This window comes from Homo sapiens, chromosome 13 (genome assembly GCF_000001405.40).
Source record: "Homo sapiens chromosome 13, GRCh38.p14 Primary Assembly".
Classification (NCBI taxonomy): Eukaryota; Metazoa; Chordata; class Mammalia; order Primates; family Hominidae; genus Homo; species Homo sapiens.
The window spans coordinates 74,269,425-74,292,101 of NC_000013.11; the positions used below are offsets into that span (position 1 = coordinate 74,269,425).

Here is a 22,677-nt window from a genome sequence, read left to right on the forward strand (position 1 = left end):
AGGCTGAACAATATTTATGTGTGATGGAGGCAAAATTAGAGAAGAATAGATTGTGACTAAAGAGCCAAGACATGTATTTAGATTTGTATATAATGGGACTCTGGATGGTCTCCTTGTTGCAAGAGTAAAAAAAATGTGTTTTAATTATACACGATGATATCATTATATTTGGCAGAAACATATTTTTGAGAGAAGGATATATACAGATTTTAATTAGTGAAGGAGTTATAGTTTAGGGGTATTTGTTATATTTTTGCTGCCCAGGAGCTCAAGTTCCTATGTGATAGGAATTCTATTATTTCAAGCAAGATCCTTACTTTCACCTTAGAAGTCCACGTGGTATAAATTTTCGTCTTTCTCATGAGCTAGTGTGTGTGCGTGATCTAAATTTGGATAATGAGCCGCTCATGCCAGGGATTTTGAATATGGGAGAAGGGACACAAAGAATCTAGACAATATCCAGTCATTTTGAGGTGACATTAGTGTTGTTGGTATTCAGTGTACACAGTGCTATCTGCTGTTTGTGGTAATCTCAGTGGAGAGTTTCAGGGAAGTCTGTGGAGGTGGCAGTTATGTCCTGAGACAACCATTCCAGTGGAGAGGTCTTAACTGTAATCCTGGTTCCTACTAATTTCCTGAGCCTGGTTCTTCAGTGTTGTATAACATAAAACTTGGTTGGCCTTTGTCCTGCTTACTAGGGGGAGCCTCTAAACCCTTGGAATTCTCTGAGTAATAGGAGTGTCTTTTTTTTCATGATGAGCCGTTCAGATCACACCTGATAGTGTATGCTAACAAGGTGATTCATGGCAGACTCCTAGGTAATTTATATGATTGAGATGACTCAGGATTGGGCTGGCCATGTCAAAAAGACCAGTCAGATGAATAGAGGGTTAGGGTTTTGCAGGATATGGTATCAGGCCAACCTCCTAACCTCCAGTGAGGTAAAAGGAGCTGGAGATTTAGTTCTGTCATATGGCTGATGATTTAACCAATGATGCTACATAGAGAAACCTCAATAAAAGTTGTGGACATTGAAAGCCTGAGTGAACTTCCCTGATTGGTAATCACACATCAGTGTGCTACAGGCATGAAGCATACTGAGGACACGGAAGCTTTGTGTTTGGAAAACTTTGTGTTGGGACCTCGCAAACCTTGCCCATCAATATACATCTCTTCATTTAGCTGTATGGCTTTGTAACCTTTATAATAAAAAATTGATCATAACACTTTGCTGAGTTCTGTGAGTTGTTCTGTAAGCAAATTATTGAGTGTGTAGTTGGAATCTCCAAAATTGTAGCTGGTTGGGTAGATGTGCGGGTAGCCTGCGAACCCTGGAGCTTGGGGCTGGTATCTGAAGTCAGGGGAGTGTCATGGACTATGCACTTAATCTGTGAGATTTGACCTCACTCTGGGTAGTTAGGGTTAGACTTGCATTGGGTCTGGCTTTCCCATCAATTCTGTGAGCCACTTGATATTCCAGTAAATTCTCTTTTTGCTTAGGTTAGTTAGAACAGCAGTCCTCAACCCCCAGGCTGGTACCGGTTCATGGCCTGTTAGGAACTGGGCCGCACAGAAGGAGGTGAGCGGTGGGTGAGTGTGCATTACTGCCTGAGCTCCACCTCCTGTCAGATCAGCAGTGGCATTAGATTCTCATAAGAGCACAAACCCTATTGTGAGCTGCACATGTGAAAAATCTAGGTTGAGCATTCCTTATGAGAATCTAACTAATGCCTGATGGTCTGAGGTGGAACAGTTTCATCCCGAAACCATCCCTCCCACCCCATCTGTGGAAAAATTGTCTTCCACAAAACCAGTCCCTGATGCCAAAAAGGTTTGGGACTGCTAAATTAGAATAACTTTCTGTTGTCTGCAATCAACATAAAGCTTAAGGAGAAAAAGGGCAACTATGCTTAAGCATTAGTAGAAACTAAGAATAAGCCTTGGACATTAATATGAGGTCTCTAATCTCTTAATTTTCTCTCCTTCCTTAAGAAAACTTATGACCAATAGACAGTAAAAAAGTGAAAAATGGTAGGACCATTTTTATATCATAGCAGAAGACATTTGTAAGGCAGAAGAGCCTCTTAAAAAATGAATGACTGTGTTGCATTTATAATACCTTAGTTTCTACTCCAAAGGAAAGTCACTTTCTCAATGATAAACACATCTTCCTAAAATATATTTGTTTATTAAACATTTCATATCCAGCTTTTTGCCAACTATATCTATCAGCTAAAGATATATTGAACTACTAGCCACAGGAAACACTAAATACAGTGGCATAAAAAGGGATCAATTTTTCTCTCACATGACAAAAGTGTGAAGGTAGGCAAGTCAGGTATGGTATACACAATGTCATCAGAGATCCAGGCTTCTCTTTCCCTTCAAATGTTTGTCGTCTTCCTCATGATTTCAAGATGGCTCTTTGCCCCATGGGTATGGTGACCAGACTCTAGCTAGGAAGAAGGGTGAAGGGCAAGGGGCAAAGAACTCATGCCAGTGGAGTCAGCTTTTTATAAAAAACTTTCTGAAAACTCCTTCAGTGACTTGTATTTGCAATCTTATTGGCAAGAATTGCATTTCTTGACCAGCCCTAGCTGCAAGGGAGTCTGATAACATAGTTTATTATTTATTTATTTATTTTTTGCTGTACATATTGCCATCATAAATAAAAATCAGGGTTGTAAAGAAAACTGGCACATTGTTTTCTTTAACTTCTAAAGTGCTACTTATAATTACTCTTGTCAAATAAATTGCTCTCTAGTCTTGGACTTATACTTCTACCAATTTAACAGCTGATTTCAAGATTAATAGTCAATTTAGTAAGTATTTATATGTATAAAGGCTAAACATACATGTGGAATAAAGTTAAGACTCCCCTGATGTTCCTTTCTTGGAAATTCCTGTGATAGTCACTTTCTTGGACTGTCATTGAAGATCAAAGTTAAAATATCTGAGAGGATGGTATAGCAAAACTTAAAAATAATTGTATAGATTGAGAACCCGCAGTGCTACTGAGTCAAACTTAAATGTTACAAGTTGTATGATAGTTGTCATATTAAAGTCTTTGAGAAGAGAATATGGCTACACAAGAGGGCCTGAGATAAGACTTCAGACATTAGGTTTGAAGTTATGGAAAGGAGGATCAGTGTCAGGTGGTAACCCTTACCTAGGAGGGGACTAGGCCGAATGCTATGGAACATTAATAGAATATGATAACAAAGAGCTGAAAGAAACAAGAATAAACTCTTCATCCACTAGGGAGGCAGGATAAAGGAAATTTTGAAAAGTAAAATCTTAAATACTTAGAAGAAGGCTATGTGTCTAGAAGGGAAAGTGAGTGATCTAAAGAATATTTTCAGGTTGGAGTTTAGGAAACTCAAGAAGTATCATTTTCCTGAAGCCAAGGAGGGGTCTGATTTGTAGACAGGAAAGACCTTGGTATGCTAGGTACCTGGTATTCTGAGTGAGATAAACCAGGTTGTGTCCAAGGAATAAAAGTAAAAGCTTAAAAAGAATAGACCAGCTGTAAGGCAAGGACTTAAGGAGAAACTACATTGCTTTAAAATAAATTAAGCAAACTGGGTCAAATGGGCTGTGGAAACCACAAATGCCATCTTCTTTTCCTTTTGGTAGGGGTGTGCTCTACTAGTATCCTTTCAAATAGTGCTTATTTTAGTTTTTCCTTTCCTGCTCAGAAAAATCTAAACATAGAAATAATCGTGAAGAAGTCATTACAGAATTCCTTATTTTGTGGCATATAGTTATGATGCAACTACAGAAACAATGCCAGATTTTGTTTGTTTGAAATATGAGGATATTTGAAGTTTATTGAATATGAAAATGTGATTCTTTAAGCTGTAAATAATAGAGTAATATCCCTTCTAATTTCCATATAAGCAATTTATATTCTTTTCTCCTTGGGCTCATTTTTTTCCTTTGGTAAGTGTATCTGTGCTGCCTTGAAAAATGATTAGAATTGACTTAATGTTAATCTATTCCTGTAATAGTTTTTATATCCAGCTTTTTTTTTTTCTGGAGCATGTACAAATCTTTTTTCCATATTTGTGAAGTTTTCCCTTTATATTAGAATTTTGCAATGGTTGTGTGCAATTCTGTTATACTCTAATAGAATTGTGCTTAATATTTGCTGTAATCTTAGTCTGCAATACTCAGTAAAAATACCATAATAAAATTAATAATCATAATAAACCTGAATGAGTTATGCAAAGTAGAAAGCTTGTTTCTACTGTAACTGAGAAGTGGACTTGGAATATTTTTGGCTTTTTAGAGAGTTGATAAATTGGTTTCAGACTCACAGCTTTCTGGGAAAAGCCAAGATCACCCAAAGGAGTTCAAATAGTACAAGGATTACATAATGCATGGCAGCTGGTGGGTTGAAGACAGTCTTCCACCCTAATTCTTACTGAGAAACCTATTTCATTTGGGTAATAAAGAATAATACGAAGTATTATTTTAATGAGATGAAGTGACAGTTACTCTACTATGAACCCATGCCACACAGTGCACAAATGCAGTGATCAAACATCATAGTGTAATTAAAAATAGAAGACTGGCACATGAACTTAAGACACCAAACTCTGCCTCTTGAGGCATGCACCGAAAATCATCTTAATTTGATAAAAATCTATTCTGCAGGAAAATCTTCCAGGGAATGTGATTATACCACCTCCCTCTTCACTCAATACCAATGTTTACAAATCTTCTGGTAAGGAAATACTTTTCTTATATTTAACCTAAATCCCTATGTTGAAGCTTAAGCCCACTACTTCCTCTCCTAGCCTTAGTGAAGATGCAATACAACTGCCACTTCCAGATGGCACTTAAAAAAAAGACCTAAGGCTTATTTACATATAATCAGCTCATACGTCTTCTTTCTCTGTCCTCATCAACAAGAGAAAAATATTGCAGTGCTTCTTCTTACATTACTTATTACCTCTAAGATCGCACATTACCATTTTATTATATTTTGTAGTTAAATCTTTCCACCTGTTCCTAATTATTTCCTTATGACCAATTTTCAGAAGTGAAATTCCTGGGTCAAAAGGTAAGCATATTTTAAATATTTTTATTCATATTGCCAACTTACTCTTGAGTAATAAGATTTTACTTATTTATGTATCTGGTGGCTGTGTGGGGAAAAAGAAAGAAGTCTCTTTCTTCTCACTCATGCCAATGTTGTATATTACCATTCTTTTTTCTTTGCTAGTTTGGCGGCTCATTCCTTTATTTTTCACTTCTTTTTTTTTTTATAATTGAAGTTGAATATTTTTCATGCATGTTGGTGATCTGTCTTTATGTATGTGTAAGCATTTTCTTTTCCATTCCTTTACCCATTGTTACATTGTTATTCCTCTTACATGTCATAGTTTTTCATAGGAAATAAATTATACTTTGGCACATGTTACAAATATATTTCTCCCACTTCATCAATTTTTTAAATTCCATTTGTCATATTTGGATGTTTTAAATTTTTGTGTGGTAAAATTTATTAATCAGCAATCTGTGAGTCTTGGTTAAGGAGCCTGTTTACACCCCAAGATTACAGACTCACTTATATTTTCTTTCTTAGTACTTTCATACTTTTAGTGAAGCAAGGCACTGAGAAGGTGACATTTGAGCAAAGATCTGAAGGAGACATGGAGAGAGCCATGTGAGGATTTTGGGGGAAATTGTTCAAAGCAAAGGGAACCACAAATATGAAAGCCTTGTAATTTGAACTTTTATGTGTTGTTTGCAGACCAGTAAGGAGGTCAGTGTGTGTGAGGCGGAGTGATTGGTGGGGCAGAGCAGTACAAAATGAAGTCAGGGAGAAAATATGTGTCACGATGTTTAGGCTTTCCAATGTCACTATGAATCCTTTACTCTGAGAGATACGGGGAACCATTGGAGGGTTTTAAGCAAATAAGTCATGTGACCTGACTTTCATCTTAACAGAACAATTCTATATTCCGTTATAGTCTAACTAGTTGCTTTCAAACTACATGTTGAATAATCAAATTTTTCCTAGAGATAGAAGCTTGCTTTTAAAAATGCAACTTGCATAAATTATTAAATTCTTATGTAGAGTTAATATATGTGTTGAATTTTCACTTTGCTTGCTTTAGTCTCCAGAATTTTTCTTGCATAAATACAGTATGGTTTAATTATTGTATCTTAAAATATATTTAAAATGTAGTTGGACAGATTCCTTGTTACTACTTTTTTATCAAAACTTTCCTGCCTCTTTTTGGGTATTTTTGTTTGTATATAACCTTTTTTTTTTTTCTAGACACAGGGTCTCACTCCGTTGCCTGCAATCAGACTATAGGTGCACGCCATTATGCCTGTCTTTTTCTTTCTTTCTTTCTTTCTTTCTTTCCTTCTTTCTTTCTTTCTTTCTTTCTTTCTTTCTTTCTTTCTTTCTTTCTTTCTTTCTTTCTATCTTTCTTTCTTCTTTCTTTCTTTCTTTCTTTCTTTCTTTCTTTCTTTCTTTCTTTCTTTCTTCATTTGCTCTATTACTTTTATTTATTTCTTATTTTTACTTTACTTTAAGTCCTGGGATATATATATATGTGCAGAACGTGCAGGTTTCTTACATAGGCATACATATGCCGTGGTGGTTTGCTGCACCCATCAACCCGTCATCTAGGTTTTAAGCCCCGCATGGATTAAGTATTTGTCCTAATGCTCTCCCTCCCCTTGCTCCCTACTCCCCAACAGGCCCCAGTGTGTGATGTTCCCCTCCCTGTGTCCATGTGTTCTCATTGTTCAACTCCCACTTATAAGTAAGAACATGTGGTGTTTGGTTTTCTGTTCCTGTGTTAGTTTGCTGAGAATGATATGCCTGGCTAATTTCTAAATTTTTTGTAGAGATGGGTTCTCACTATGTTGTACAGGCTGATCTTCAACTCCTGGCCTCAAGCAATCCTTCTACCTTGGCCTCCCAAAGTCATATAAATTGTAATACGATCAAATTTTAAAAATTCCATTCACTTTGGGGGTTTGGATAAATTATGCACATTATTTTGAACAGGAATTGAAATATATACTATACCATCTTCCAGTAATGAAGCCTTATTTATTTAGTAAAGTTTCACAATTTACCACATCTAAATTTTGCACATTTCTTCTTATTTTATAAGTTTATTCTGTGGTTTGAAGATACCTTAATATTTATCTTAACCTGATTTCAGCATTATAAAAAGTAAGTTGTCTTCCTAATAAGCCTTCCTACAAATGACTTGTGTTTTTCTATACAGGATACAGGACAGGCAACTCTTCATCTTATTTAACCCAGTTTGTTTGACTCAGCCAAACCCATCTGTCAGGCTACCCCGTTTTCACTATCTTCCAGTTCTCTTCTCCATACTTGAACCTAGTCTTTTGTTCTCATGGTTTTACCTTTAACTCCTGCTTTCAGAGTGAGCTGATTATCTTTTGCTTGCAATAGATGATTGGAGAAGCAAAGTTCTTTCAGGTCTAGAAAATAAAGTGACTCTATAAACTTCAGGTACCCACTTCTGCCCATTGATTTAGCAGGATCCTCTGGACAATGCCCACGGCAGTGCCCTTGATGGGCCTCTGGTATGTTTCTTGGTCTACTCTTCTCAAATCAGCTTCATCTGTTTCTGTCTTGGGATCTGCCAATAGCCTGATGGCCTTGGCCTTTCAAATCTCATTCAATCTCATTCTGGTTCTCCTCTTGCTCCCTATTCTCTTTTACTATCAAATGATTATATTATACATGTCTTCACATTGCCATCTGCAGTGTAGCTATTGCTTTCGTTTCTGGAGGCTACTGGATCACCTCATCTCTGCACTTTCTCTTCTGCTACTATATCTTTCTTGAATTTGTTGGTCTAAATAGGTACCTGGTGGAATGCACATGGCCCATATCATGTTTGACCATGTTTGTGAAGTCTTCTTGACCTGCCCAACAGGATGTGGTTCCTCCCTCATTCAGACACTTGTAAATCTCTTTATGTCTTCCCTGGTAGTCACGGTATTCCCTTCTGTATTATTCAGTAAGTGTTTAATGCCATGTGCCAGTTAATAGACTAGATACTCAGAATACAAAAATGAATAAGACAGAGTAGCTGCCATCAGTGATACCAGAGTGGGCAGAGAGGCATGTGAAAATAACTGTTAGTATTATATGGAAATAAACATGGCTCAGGGGCGGTAATCATAAAGCAATTATAGATTATTTCCCAGAGCCTCTTACAATGAATTCTATAGGGCTATTCCTTCCCCTTTCCCTGGATGAAAACTTAGGCAGGAGCTGTGACTTTAAAAATTTGTTCTTAGGGCACAAAACTCTCTCTCTCAATTTAATAATTAGAATGTCCTGTCCCATGGGATGTCACAAGGTCAGTCTTGCTGTCCAGTTGAGGCATCTCCCATAGGTGCTCAGACACATTTCAGGTTGGAAGCCTGAGCCCAAAGGATGGAGAGTAGTTGGCTTCTTCTACTCTGCCAAGCACATCTACCTTTCCACATGCTCCTATTAGTGAAATTTTCTTTTCCCTTCAGGGTTAGAGCTGATGGAGACAAGGGTAGGAGGAGAGATAGGTTGGGGCAAGCTGTATCTTACATGCCTGGTAGTATTGTGGGTTGGGTGGTGCTGTTCTCTGGTCCTGATGTGTGTTTAATCTGGACGTGTTCTCTTACAGGTGCTCTCACGAGTTCTTTGAGACGTCCACCACCTCTGGCTTCCCAACTTTCCCAGCATCCCCTCCCTTGCCCCAACCAATTTCTGATGATTTCTATTTCTATTTGGGCTGATTATTTCCTGCTACCTCAGCCCTAGGAATCTGGTGACAGCTGCCAGTTTATCTCTGGTGAGGTCTATTCCTACTTCAGGTAGTTTTCTGGATCAGGATGTAAGATGACCAGAAACAACAGCTTTTTCACTTATTAGGCCATATCTGGCCCAGTGGAAACTGTCATGTGTTCATCACCGACATGGCCCTCTCCTTATCTCCATCTAAATTCTTTGTCTACATACTGATCCCAATTCAGCAACAACTCTCTTTCCTTCTTCCACAAGGGAATCTGTCAGCCTAGGTTTTGCATTTTAGGTTTTCCAAGCTAGAATCAAGGCACCAGTCCACAGTGTCCTCCAAACAGCCAAGGACACATATTAAATCCTCGTGGTTGTTCCTTAAAAACCCCCTCTTTTGACTTGAGGCAGAGAGTGAGGACCACATTGCGCTCCAATAGCTGTCTCCAAAAATCCTCCTCAATCTCCACCCGCTGCCTTTTCTCACCTTTTCCTAACTTTTTAAAGGAGGGCTACTATCTCAGAAGCTGCAAAATTAATTTTCTGCCATGGGATATTTTTCAAATCTCATTTTGAAATGTAGCATCTATTAGTTTCAGGCCTCAGCCAAAACAGAGAGAAGATCTTATGTTAATATCCAGTTATAGTGTCACTGTTAAGAACACTAATTAAGGAACTGTTAAGGAATGTTGATTCTCTGGCTCCTCTTATTCAATAAGAAGATACCCCACCACTTTCCATGGTGGGGAGATGACTTTGGCTACTTTTGCCAGGAAGAGGTAATACATCTTTTCCCATGGTTACCCAAGAAGCTCTGGCAGTATCAACTCTAGTGAAACTGGAGACAGCCCGTATCCTTTGACTACATCCATGTACTAGTGGGTCATATTACTCTGCCCAAACAGGTTCTAGACTCATTCTTTCCCTCTTGGACATACCTGTGCTTAAAATCCCCTGGGGGAGAGTCTCTTCCATCACAGCACTGGGATATTAAACCATAATGGGACGTAGGAAGCCCCACTGTGCACTTTAATTTAGTTGATGCTAGACAGCTCTTTCTAAAAGTAATGCATTTGGCTCTGATCTTTGTACTTAGACTCTTGGCCTTCTATCCTGAATGTAAAGTATTTTACATTCTGACTTCTATGACTTCCACCCTAAATGGAAGAAATGTTATGTAACTCCCCAAAACTAACCATGCATATTGGCAAAGTGTGGTTTAACTTTTGGTGGGTAAGAAAAATTTTTTTTTTCTGCACAACAATTTAGTATCTCTCACAATGGTTTGAAATAAACAGAAATTTTGTTCATTTTTTTTTTTTTTAGTCATAAGTGCTCTTTGAGGAATATATTAAGGGCTAAACTTAATTCAGCACAGTAAAGTGTTGAACTGAATCAGCATGTTAAGCACAGTAATGGGAACATCAGTTCTGTAACCAATGAACAAAATGGTAAAACACATGTCAGTTTTGGAGTTTAGCTTGAACAAAAAACATGTGGTACAGGAAAACACATCAGGTGGTTGTCCCATAGTGGACTCAATAGAAAAAGAGCACGGAGTACATAATGGACATTGTCAAGTGTTGTTAAACTAGTTTGATTTGAGATTTTAAGGACCCTCAAGTTCCATGTTAAAAAGTTTTGACTTATTCTCATGGTTAAAGGGGATCTAAGTCTTGGGCAAATTTATGAGAGAAGGTGAAAGTCTCTAAGAGCAGAGGGATGCACAAGAATGTTATCTTAAGCACAGAGGACCAGAAGTGTTGAATAACTTTGGTCTGGACAATGGGACAAGGAAGAGATTTTAGTAATATTTCTTGTTAGCAGCCTCTGTAGCATATCCTTAGGGTTGCAAATGGGCTTACAAACCTTCCTTTTAAAATTTATCCTGAGTGGTTGGTGAGCATATTAATAATTGTTATCATCTATTAAATTCTATTGTCACATAAATAATTACCAATCCTCACAACAATGCTGCAAGCCAGTCTCATATCTCCTTTACACATTAGGACACAGTTGCTCAGAGAAGTTAAGAAACATGTCCAAGTTTCCAAAAGCATGACTGCAACCTGATATGGTCTAATGATCTTTTTGGGTAGAGTGTAATGACCAGTTTTGTCCTTGCTACACCCAATACAGAAGTCCCTGAAACCACTGGAAACAGGTTAAACAGTCTGTTCCTTAGACTTCTGAGTAAAGGTGTGGTCAGGGAAGTGAGCTTGCCTTATTATCTGATTTACCCTTAAGCCATATAAAAATACACACTGGAAATTTACACATCTATACACAGATTGTTTCTCATGGTGGTGAAAACTGTGCAACTTTGTCAGTAGTCAGGGAGGCTAATGAAAGAGACCCAATGGGGAAACCCATCTTGGGATCAAAACATGATCTCTGGTCACATTCTCTAGTTTTCTGCAAGTTGGTGGTAGAAAGTACCCTCGTGGTGTACCCTTGTGGATGGAGTCAGAGCAGTGAAAGAACCTTTGGTTTTCCACCACCCTGTGAAAATCATAGCAAATACTGTTTCGTGAATTTTTCTATCTACCCTTTTCCCTAACAGATGACGAACTGTATGTAGAAACTACACCATACTCATCTTTTTTTTCTTTTTTCTTTTTTTTTTTTTTTTGCCAAGGACTGTGCCATAAAAACTGGCACAGAAAAAGGGAGGAAAACAAACTCAAGAATATACTAACCTTATCTGGAACCACAATCAGATAGCCACTACTTTTGATATGTCTGATACTCTCTCCCACAACTACTTTACAGTGGGGTGAAAACTATTTGTAATCCATTACTAATGGGTTCTTATGCTTCTCCTAGACTTATAACTCCCATGGTCTTGTATATAATATCTATACTTTGTTGTATTTTATTTTTCTGCACATTTTTCTTTCATCTTCCCCCTTTTAGATCTCATTTTAAAAAGAATGATTTTTAAAACTCTCTTCTCTATTTTTTTTTAAAAAGTATTATCTTAAGACACCCACACACTATTTCTTACCACATTTCATGAGTTGTTCTGGTAGAAATTATACTTGCTGGGAATGTATTGGCCTTCCCTGCTGGGATGATGAAGTAGTTTTGCACTGACTGTCATCAGAGACAAAGGTGAAAGGTTATTCCTGTCCCTCTTTCCCGCAAAACCTTGAGGAGATAAGAATTAAGACTTAAAGAATGTTAAAGTATTTTGGTGTGATAAGTGTGGATGCAAGGCATTTAAAAATTAGATATGGCATGGAGTTATTAATCAAAGAAAACCAGTTCTTAGAGAAATAGGGATAAAGTAAGTACTAGGGTATATATTTTATTGTAAGGTACATTAATTGCTTTCAACTATGTCAAAGCTATAAATACATTTTAAAAATCAGTTAGAATCTAAGTTTAGAAACAGATACACATTTTCTTCTGTCAAGGTAATGGAATAAGGCTATAGAATGAATAACATCAAAATATGTACAAATTCAGTGGCTCACATAAATCATTTTTTGATCTATGTGCTTGGTTACAAGACATTCTCCATTTTGGAAGATTGTTGCAATCTTCTCTGTGGGTATGGGGTGGATATTTTTCTTGCACAATAATTCAATATCTCTCACAATAGTTTGAAATAAATGGAAACTGTGTTGACATTTTCTTCAGGTAGATGTAAAATTGTTTCTACTCAACATTGCTAGCTTCTGTAAGGGAGATTTCCTTGGAAATTCTTATCGGAGAGGGCTCCCTTCTGCATTCACAAATAATATCCTCTTCCTCAGGAGCACCTTCAGAAGCACAGCTTAGCCCCCAAACACCAGGGATCATCTGAAAGTTCAGCTCAGTCAACCTTAGTAAGGTCAGTCAATTACCGGAGGAGTTTAGGGGAAGGTGGGAGTGGGACTTGCAATTTGACCATAGCCCTAGAAAGTATGACTCAGTTTCTAGTGGCAACAAGCTCCAGGCTCCTCTGTGGGGCAGCTTCATTATTAAATGTTAAAATAAAAGTGCTTTTCTGTGAAGGAGGGCATATTTTCCTTCCCAAATTCTAATTTAATATTCATCTTCAGAGCTCACAGCTTAGCAGAAAATTCAGTCTGAAGATTCTGCACACTTAAGCAGGTAGTATGTGATTAAGATGATGCCTTGCTTGCAAGACTTTTAAATCCAGTCCTCTTCCTTGCCACATACATGGTTTATGAATCTTGGTGATTGGATCTGTGTATTTCCTCTATGTTAATACCACCCACTATTTTCAGTGTTTTCTGTGGATTCACCCTGCAGGGGTGGGAACTGAGAGGGTGAAGCATGTTAATGGTCTGAAGTTCCCTAGGGCTATAGGGTGATGATGTTAAGATCTTTTCACACCAGCATGGTCTCAGTGTGATGGGGACGCACCTCCTGAGAGGCTGTGTGATGGAAATTCAGATCTATGGGTGACTGCACAACAGCATGTGCAGAAAAGGAAGTATGGAAATAATAACTTCAGGGAAGAAGAAAGAGCAAACCAAGGAATAGAAATTTGAACCAAAGAACCAAAACTGAATAGAAAGGGTAATGAAATAGGGATGGGTCTCAGAGGTTGGGGACCTCTATTACGGTTTCAGTTCTATTAATGAATGCCGTGTGACTTAGGGCAAGGCACTTAACTTACGTGAGTCTCAGTTTCCCCCCCTGGTTATATACTGGCTACATGATTCATGAAGTATTTTATGATTCTAACCTCCTAGTGTTCTATTTTCTCTATGCTCATATTTTGATTTTCAATGTGTTGATAGATTTTATTGTAGCAAAACACAAATGTGTCTCAATTCTTTATGACATATTGTAATGATGTAGCAAGAATGTTAAAAAGTGTCCAAAAAAGACATAAAATTCACAATATTTCTCTACCTTAAAAACAAACAATATGCACATGAGTTTCCAACCTACCAAATTGGAGAAACCAGAGGAAATGTAGACTGCAAACTTCACCGAAGAGTCTTTTCTGAGCAAATCATCTAAGCCAGTTTGAAAATGTCTTCCAAAAATTCAGACTATATTGTTTTAATACTTGCTATATATTTTCAACGTTTACTTCATGAATATTCTAATGCAAGTAAGATGCTTTCCTTTGATTACTAAAAATACTAGGAAGACATTAATAGCATAATCCAAAACTTCTGCAAAAATCCCATTTCTATTACATGCTGAGCCATAATTTGGAAAATAGTAAAACACATACAAATGTGAATAAGTCCAATGGAATAACCCAAGAGTTTCATGTTAATAAAACAGAAAAATCAATTCATCTAGACAGGGTATAAACTAAAGATACCCACTACATTCCATGCAGATACTCCTTTACAGGGATTTTGAGCTTTTCCTAATTAATGAAACAGTATGCACTAGTGGGCAGACCAAGCATTAGATTGGAAGTCAGGGGAATTGGGGCTGTATTTAGAATTTTTCATTCCTTATTCCATAACTTTCAGTACTCTCAGCCCTTGTGTCTCAGTTTCTACTTCTGTTAAAATGAGGATAATGATACTCACCTGACCGATGTGAGATTAAATTATGAACTCTTAAAGAATTAAACCCTATGCATTTCTAGAAAAAATACATGATTATTACTATTTCACTGAGACTGAGGCTTTTGGCAAAAGTATCATCCATAAGTATGTATAAATCTTTTTTTTTTTTTTTCCCCAAGATAGAGTCTTGCTCTGTCACCCAGGCTGGAGTGCAGTGACAGGATCTCGGCTCACTGCAAGCTCCGCCTCCTGGGTTCATGCCATTCTCCTACCTCAGCCTCCCGTAGCTGGGATTACAGGCACCCACCTCCATGCCCGGCTAATTTTTTGTATTTTTAGTAGAGATGGAGTTTCACCGTGTTAGCCAGGATGGTCTGGATCTCCTGACCTTGTGATCCACCTGCCTCGGCCTCCTGAAGTTCTGAGATTACAGGCATGAGCCACCATGCCCGGCCTAGTGTGTATAAGTCTTATAAGTTCCTTGGAGTCCTTGAAAATTTCCAGGTATATCTATGATCTTATAGTGAGTGGACCCACCCTTAATGCCCTCAGCTCATCCAGCTGACCCAGGCCTTTTAATCTTAGAGAGAGGCTGAATGCCAGGTGAAAAATCAGGGGTTCTCAATTCCTTAAGACAAACTCAGAAACAAAAAGTCTTGAAGGGGGACGTGAGAGTGTTATTCAGAATGTGATCCTCAGCTACTGTGGTATAAGCTTCCTTCTCAAAGAACAAATGTAAAACAGTGTGATGATTTTTGTGCAACACAGGACTCCTCAGGATGGTGAGTCCATTGGCCCACTCTGCTAAGGTGATCCCTCTGTTACAGTGCAGAACCACATCTTTACCTTGAAGGCAGTCCAGTCTTCCTTTATGGAGTAGTAGAGTCAGAAGCTAAGGCCCAGTTCCTTCTGGCTGTGCTCAACTTGCTTCTAATTCATGGCTCCCTGACAAAATGACAGACAGATCCAATGGCTCTAAGCCTGGTGGGCAATGGTGGCTTTGGAGGTGAGAGGAGGGCTTTTCAATGGGAATGTCAGTGAAGGGAGGACATGCGAGAGGGATTTCTGTGCATGTTCTCAGCTTTCATATATACTATGAAGTCCATGAAAATTATGGGCATTGTAGTATATTTACACTACGGTATAGAATTACGACAACATTCTCACTTATGCAACATCCCATATCCTATTTGAAAGTGTAAATATGTTTTTTTTCCCACCCATTATAAGTAGGGCCTTTTGGGTAAGTATGAGCTCCTTTAACTGTGAGCTAATAATTTCCACTGTCATGGCCTTGAGATTGGAGGTTTATGAAAGTTTCTTTTAACTCATCAAATTTCTCTTGTATGGAGGAGGACAAGTAACTGCATGAATTGATCTTCATAGGGCACATGGTTTTTCTTGTGGGCATGTGAAATTCACTTACAACCCCTTAGAACACTTAAATAAGATCAAATGCCTATAGCCAGCCCTACCTGATTTTTTTTTTTTTTACACCATGGAGAATTTGGCTTCTTGTTAATTGCATCTGCAGTCTCAAAGCTCTTTATGGAATCTTTCATAAGTGATATTAATAGTAATGGTGGTCTTTTATTAATAATGCATAATAACAATAGCTGGCGTTAAAACAATATTAGTTAAGCGATTAGAGAAATGGCTAGAGTTGCGGTTAGAAAATAGGCCTGTAGACATCAATACTGCTAAAGTCATTTATCATTTCTCTCATAAAACAGAAAGAAGTATAATGGCCGACTAAGCTCTTAATAAAATTCTGCCACAATTGCATAACTGCAGACTGACGTTTTCATTTGTGGGAGCATCCTTGGTGGTATTGTGTGATGGGGCATCCCCAGGAGAAAGAATAGAAAACATAGGATTATTTGCATAATTTCCCTATACTCCCTGTGATTTTCTTTCATTCTTCCCCATCTGTAGTTACCATCCATAGCAGAAATGCAAGCAGAGTACCTGGTTTCTAGTCCTGGTTCTGTTACACAATGGCAGGTGATTACATGACAACATCCCTGAGGCTCAGTTTCTTTCATCTGTGAAATGGGAAGGATTATATCTATTTGATAAATATTTTATTGAGATTGCAAGGTAAAAGTGCACCTAATCATGCTTTGTAACATGCTCTAAAAGAGGTATAAGCATTTTTCTAATAATTCTCAGCCAAGCCCTGAAGCCAATGCACTTCTTTTCCAGGCTCATACCTCTGTTTCCAGCTTCTACTCTCCTATCTCTTCCTACAGTATTTCACAGGCCCTGAGTGCTCAAGTTGTCTTTTTAGGCACAAGAAATCCTCCCATACACACACAAAATTAGGACTACCCTCTCCCCAACCACTACTCTTAGCTCACTCTTTCTATCTTCCAAAGGATAACTGAAGATAAACATGATGAACAAATTCATCATAAAATGCTGAATGTTGATAGCAGGGTCATTTTACCTCTTCTTTTTTTCTCTCTCTTTCTCTTCTGTCTCTCCTTTCCTTTCTTCTCTTCTTTCTAAGAGGGTGTGCCACACTGAAATGGATGTGAGGTAATGTATACAACGAAAAGTACAGATAAAAGTACAAATGTGTTAAAACTGTAATATGATTAAAACAAGGTAGGATGTCACTATTCAAATAACACAGGATGGATGGAGAAATTATAGAAGAAAATCTAAGCTAGGGAAGCAACTGAAATTCATGACATTTCAAAATATTGAGCTTCCAGGAAGACAAGATGAAAAGGGAAACAGTAAAAAGCGTATTCAGGATAGACAAATTTTCTCTAATGTAATTGTTAGAAAAAATTTTCATATGCACATTCTTGGTGCATAAATTAGAAGGCAGGTAATACCATCCATGCAGTCTTTTTTTAAAAGTAGGGATAGCCTTCATATGGGTTTGTTAAAAAATTGTTAGCACTGATAAAATACAAGCTGACATCACGTTTACAGGGACTCCTAGGTAATTTGCATTTTTAAAGTGAGCTCTGATCTTAATCCTGAGATGACTTACAAAATCAGCATCTGTGGTGTTAGGACATGGAGGCTGATTTTGTAAGCAGAGATCTTCATCATCATAATAATTTTATGCACTTGCTGTGGCTTTGCACATGTATTTTCTCATCGTGAATGGATTCAGTGTGCCTTCCATGAGTTTTATGTCTCTGTCTGGTTTTTGGAATGGGGACTCAGTAAATGGAGGTAGAGCCTTGGAAAGAATAGTCCAGAAATCATTTAAACCAAGCTGTAGCTATCATTTTCATGTCCCTTTGAAGGAGAAAGCCTCAGAATTATTTCACATATAGCCTCTCAAAAATATTTTAAAGTAAGCTTTATAAATCATTACATGGCTCTTTCCTAGCCCTGGTCCCAAAGGTCTGGTAAGCTTTAAGTCCCTAGTGACACCTGCTGGGCAGACCTCGGCTCACTGCTGCAGGCTTTCCATCAGCCTACCTCTTCCTTAGCATGCAAAGCTGCAGGCCACTAGGTAAGGGGCTGGCTGCCGCTTCCACAGCTTGCAGCCCGTCTGCTCATTGCTCATGCAGGTGACCTCTGTCGGCAGAATCGTGTGCCAGAGTCTCCCCAGTGCTCTCTCGGGGAAATGATTTCCAACCTGTCCAGGCCCCAAGAAACAAACAGGGATCTATCAAAGTTGAGAGAGAGAGAGAGAGAGAGAGAGAGAGAGAGAGAGAGAGAGAGAATCCACCTCTATCCACCCCCAACCCCAGCCCCAATTTACTAAGCTGCTTCTTTGTCTGAAAACTCGGAGGTGAAAGATGCTACTTGAGCCGTATGTTTTGTTCAAGCACAAACCAAATTATGCTATACTTGCTTATATCTGAACATATTGGTTTATCTTACATAGAGTTTAATTGATGCAAACTTGAACTTCAGTATGTTAGATTTTCAGGGAAAACACCATCCCTGTGATTTAGATTGCTATGTTTTTCTTTGAACAAAGCAAAGAGAAGCAAGGCAATTACACCCCTGCTTCGGTTTATTTCCTTCATATTCACCAACCATTACAAAAATAGTGTTTAACCTCTTGTAGTATGACCTCTTGTGTCCTCTACTGTCCAATTGCACAATTTCTTTCTGAGCCAACATCTGCATCCTTGGACAGAGCAACTTGTGTGCAAAGTCCATGTTAGCTGATCAAGCATGGCTTTGTTTGCATTTATTCACTGCTCATCCAGCACTGCGTAAGTGGTTTTGCATATTAACTAAGTGCACAGTAACCTTCCTTTACCTCCTTAGAGCTCCACCCCCCTCCCACCCGGCCCAGGGAAATCAACACTGTTACTCGCTGAGGAAGCTGCCAAGGGGTTGCCATGGCAACTGTTCTGCTTTCAGCAGCTACTTTTCTGGTTTGAAGGGGGGAAGGAAAAAAAAACTGGGGAGAACTAGGCGGCTTTCTGATCAGAGTTCAGATAAAAAGGGTCACAGTAATTTGTGGGCACTGACTAAAATAACCCAATGGATTTGAGAGTTACCGCAAAAGAAGCAAACAGACAAACTAAAGAGGTAAGTCTAGTGGAAGGCAAATAATTAAATTATTCGGTAGTGGTCTTAAGCTGAAGCATTTCAACTCTATATCAGTCCAGCTCATCTAAGATGCTATTTTATGAGTCTTTTCATTTTTGTCCAGAGCCAAACACAGACGATGAGTTTTATGGGATTATAAACGGCAGACAAGCGAGGTAACGGGGTAAAACAGCAGCAGAGTGGGACTCTCTAACATCTGAAAGTCATTTTCCAAAACTTCATTCAGCACAGGAACAATGCGGCATTCAGGCAGAATGAGCTGAAAATGTGGGGTGCTCCAGGTCAAATCAGCAACTTCTGCACTCCTCTCAACAGGGTGGGGAGTGGTTTGCCAAGGTAGGGCAGGAAACAGTCTGATTTCAAAGGAAGGGCTAGGATTAGGCAGAAAACCGTGAAGAGTCAAGAAATGGAAGCCTCCGCAGCCTAGACTGGTGGGTTTCAGCGGCATACAGAGAGCTGTGCTAAAAGCCGCTCTAGACAACTTGTTGGTGGGATTTTGGCAGCTACCCAGAAAAGAGCTGAACAGTGATCCTTGGCTGAAAACTGGCAGGGTGGCGGCAGGGCCGGTCATGCAGCACTAGGGGAGTAGAGCCTCACCCTTCCTGCCTCTGTTCTGTCAGTCTCCCCAGTCAGCACCTGCTCCCCACTGGTCAACAAGCTTCCTGGCACTCCTCTGCATTCAAGCTTCTCTTGCATTATTTATTCACTTTAAGGAATAGCAGTGATGAAAACGTAGTAGCCGAACCATCCTCATCTAAGCTACTATTTTCTGAATATTTATAGCTTTATTTAGAACCTAACAACAGCTACAACACCCAGATAAACTTAAAGGAATTTTTATATATTTTTTCTATTTTTTTTAAGACTAGTCAAGTGCAGTAGTGAGGAAGGGGGAAAGGGTAGAACAAAGAGTTCGATCTGTAATTGACTGCGAACAATCAATTTTGAGATAACTCACTACCTTTGGTCCAGCCAGTTAAAAGGAATTTTAAGTTAGAGAAGCCATACAAGTACAGACATGGAATGGGATGGTAACTAAATGAGAATGTCATGTCGTTCTGGTGACATCGTCGTTAATGTGTGGTGACACGGTTATTAATACTCTCAGTGGAGTAGTAAGGGAAGCTCTAAGCTCTCAGAGGTTAACACCTCTTTAAGGACATGCAATAGTGGAACAAGGAATCTTGAGTTTGGAGCAGAGAGAGCTTAGCTACATGCAGGCAGCAACTTGTTTCTTACCTGAAATACAGCCATTTCGGCCCAACTCCATATTATGGCAGAGTTGACAGATTTATAGTCAACATTCTGTATTCTTTTGTCATTTCCATCATTTTATTTGTCTTTGACAAGTAGAGAAATTTTGAGGTAGAAAGTAATAGGTAATAAGGGAAGGGAAAAAATGTAAATAAATTCCCCAAACAGGAAATGACCAAGGCAAATATACTCTACAGCAGGATTCAAAATTTTACATTCTATATAGAATGATTTTGACAGATGACAATAGACAGTGAAACAGAAGTTTAAAGAGAGAAAATAAAATAAGGCCAAAGACCCAAAGCATTTTATTTAGGCAAAGTTGTGTGAAGTCCCAGAAACTAAACTGGGAAAGGAAGAGATATATCATTAAAGGACAGCCACCTTATATCGGAGCCCTCATAAGTTAAAACAAAATCCTAAGAGTTAAAAACTTGAGTGGGCTCTCTTGTGTATCCTTGATGTAGCTGGAGGCCCTATATTATATAACAGTAACAGGATACAGGATGACAGTTCCTCACAGACTACAGTAAATGTGATTAAATTATCTCATCAGCTTCATACTCCTGAGTATTTGTACAATGCCAGAAAACCATCCATTAATCTGACCTGTCTGCTAGACCCCCAGACAGCATGGGCTAGAGGTATTAATATTCAAAGAAATTTCCCTCTCAAATGGCCAATTGGAGGGATTCCAAGTTTAGTCTCTGCAGCCGTTGACACCACGAATGAGACACGGAGAAATAATAAGGGGGAAAGAATAAAAGCTAGAATAAAATTCAGAAATTTGCTTGAACTCAGCCACAGATTCTTTTTCATTCCTTTCCACTGACCTGATCTAATTCCAGCAGCTATTATCCCTGTGAAACACTGCCACAGCTGAATTTATTTTTATTTTGTCTGCTCAAAGGCAATGCAAAGCGAATTTGAGAGCACATCACCTTCAGGGAAAAGACTGCCGCATATTACTCACTACCTCCCTCCACCCCTCTGCGTGAAAAGGTTAATTTGAATAAGGCTGCTGCTTCCACAAATAGAGCAGTAACCAGCACACAGAGGAACCGCCAATGAGACTGTATTTCAATGATGTCATACTTATACCTGCCTCTTATTATTTGCTGAGTAGTGACAATGTGTTCCGTGAATCTCACGTATTATTGGTTAAGAGCCCTGTCATTCTGAGTACTTCTGGAGAGTTTTAGGCATTGCAGTTTCTTTACAAGCCCAGAATTTTTTCAGCTTCTGCACTTCAACAAACTGTTGGAGAAGGCAGAGTATTTTAAACGTTGTTGTCCTGAAGACAAATATAAAAACCTTTATAATTTATACCTGATTTACATGCCATTGGATGCTAGCTCCGTTTGCACAGCAAACGCAACATAGGAAAAGTCTGTTTTTTGTTAAAATAAATGAACAAACAAACAGTTGGACAGAACTTTCACTGAAGTGTTTCTAGAAAGAGTATGCTTAGCTGAATATTGTCCCACTGGCCTAACTGAAAACAAACTTATTCCACTTATTCTACAACAACAATTTTTTGCCCCAGTGAGCAGAGCTTTCTTAAAAAGAACTAGATCTAAAATTTACCAGTTTGTAGGATACAGGGCATTGGAGGAGGGAAAACCTACCTGGTTTATTTTTGTCCTAAGTGGGTTTTATTTTTAAATCAGTTAGGGTTTTGTGCCATTAAATGTGTGCTTCAGGTCACTCAGATTCCTGGGCTTTTCTGAGGAAATGCCTATAAATAGGTTTGAAAACTACACTACCTTATAATGAAGCTGACAGTTAGATAAATCAGTTGTGCATGAGTTAGGAATTATTCAACTAACTGAAACATTCAAATAAATGTTCTGGTCAGCATGAGATGCAAGTGTGATTGGGAGGCCAGGAAGAAGTGTTGGTAGTGATCTTAAGCTGAGGCTCAAAAGTCTCATCATCTGTGGTGGCAAGTGAGGCCCCAAGCATGGCTCTCTGGGCAAAGTCACATCCTCAGAGATATAGACAACAAGGTCAGTCTGTTCATTGTCAGTTGGCGAAGCAGAACATATATGGCGAAGGTTAATCCAGTCCACAGGCAGGGCTGTATATTAAATGCTCCAGTGAGAAGGGCAGGGCATTAAAGGAGCAACTGGATTTTAACCGGCAGAAAAAGACTAGAAAGTGTTCATGTGTAGGAGAATGAGATGAGAAAGGATGACTATATATGGAATAGACCTCCCTGACTGGATATACATATATGTATCTACACCTTAGTGAGAGAAATCTGGAAAAGCAGGCACACAAATCAGCAAAGATGATGTAAATTAGGAAGAGGTAGAAAGCACCAGATATTTTGGGCACCCATACCTCAAATTCAGTAGCTAATATCAACTATTTTTGAAATCAAAATGTCTTCTCAGCTGTGTATCAGAACTTATTGTTTGCAGAGTCTGATCACAGGTTAGCTAGATGTTGTAAAATTTGATTATTTTATAGTTTAAATAAATGCTTTACAATATTATTGTAGACATTGGACATTCAACGAGATGCTCACTGTGTTAAGAGCATGGGAAATGAGACCAAAGTTAAGTTTAATTGCAGTAAAAAGTAGAGAATAGACTACCATTC

The 22,677-nt window shown here is 38.6% G+C and overlaps 1 protein-coding gene, 1 long non-coding RNA gene and 1 pseudogene across 7 annotated transcripts in view, besides 3 other annotated features; 1 reads left to right on the forward strand and 2 right to left on the reverse strand.

The window, feature by feature from the left end:
• Nucleotides 1–22,677, reverse strand: part of KLF12 (KLF transcription factor 12) — a 619,957-nt gene that overhangs the window by 583,336 nt on the left and 13,944 nt on the right. The gene's annotated exons all lie outside the window — the stretch shown is intronic.
• Nucleotides 17,465–17,965: an enhancer, noted in NCBI's record as "H3K4me1 hESC enhancer chr13:74861026-74861526 (GRCh37/hg19 assembly coordinates)". NCBI's record gives its function as "activates a minimal SCP1, AML or CMV promoter by ChIP-STARR-seq in primed H9 embryonic stem cells {active_cell/tissue: H9 hESC(primed)}" and the evidence as "EXISTENCE:reporter gene assay evidence [ECO:0000049][PMID:30033119]".
• Nucleotides 17,661–17,720: a silencer, noted in NCBI's record as "silent region_5400". NCBI's record gives its function as "represses an Ori minimal core promoter by ATAC-STARR-seq in GM12878 lymphoblastoid cells {active_cell/tissue: GM12878}" and the evidence as "EXISTENCE:reporter gene assay evidence [ECO:0000049][PMID:35858748]".
• Nucleotides 18,288–18,582: an enhancer, noted in NCBI's record as "tiled region #2285; HepG2 Activating DNase matched - State 5:Enh". NCBI's record gives its function as "activates a minimal TATA promoter and a strong SV40 promoter by Sharpr-MPRA in HepG2 cells {active_cell/tissue: HepG2}" and the evidence as "EXISTENCE:reporter gene assay evidence [ECO:0000049][PMID:27701403]".
• LOC105370259 (uncharacterized) overlaps nucleotides 18,646–22,677 on the forward strand; it is a 120,734-nt gene continuing 116,702 nt past the window's right edge. For all 5 annotated transcript variants that reach the window (NR_187795.1, NR_187793.1, NR_187794.1 and 2 more), the window contains exon 1: nucleotides 18,646–18,795. This is a non-coding gene — a long non-coding RNA (uncharacterized LOC105370259). The remainder of the gene's footprint in view (nucleotides 18,796–22,677) is intronic.
• RNY1P5 (RNY1 pseudogene 5) lies at nucleotides 19,676–19,790 on the reverse strand (annotated as a pseudogene).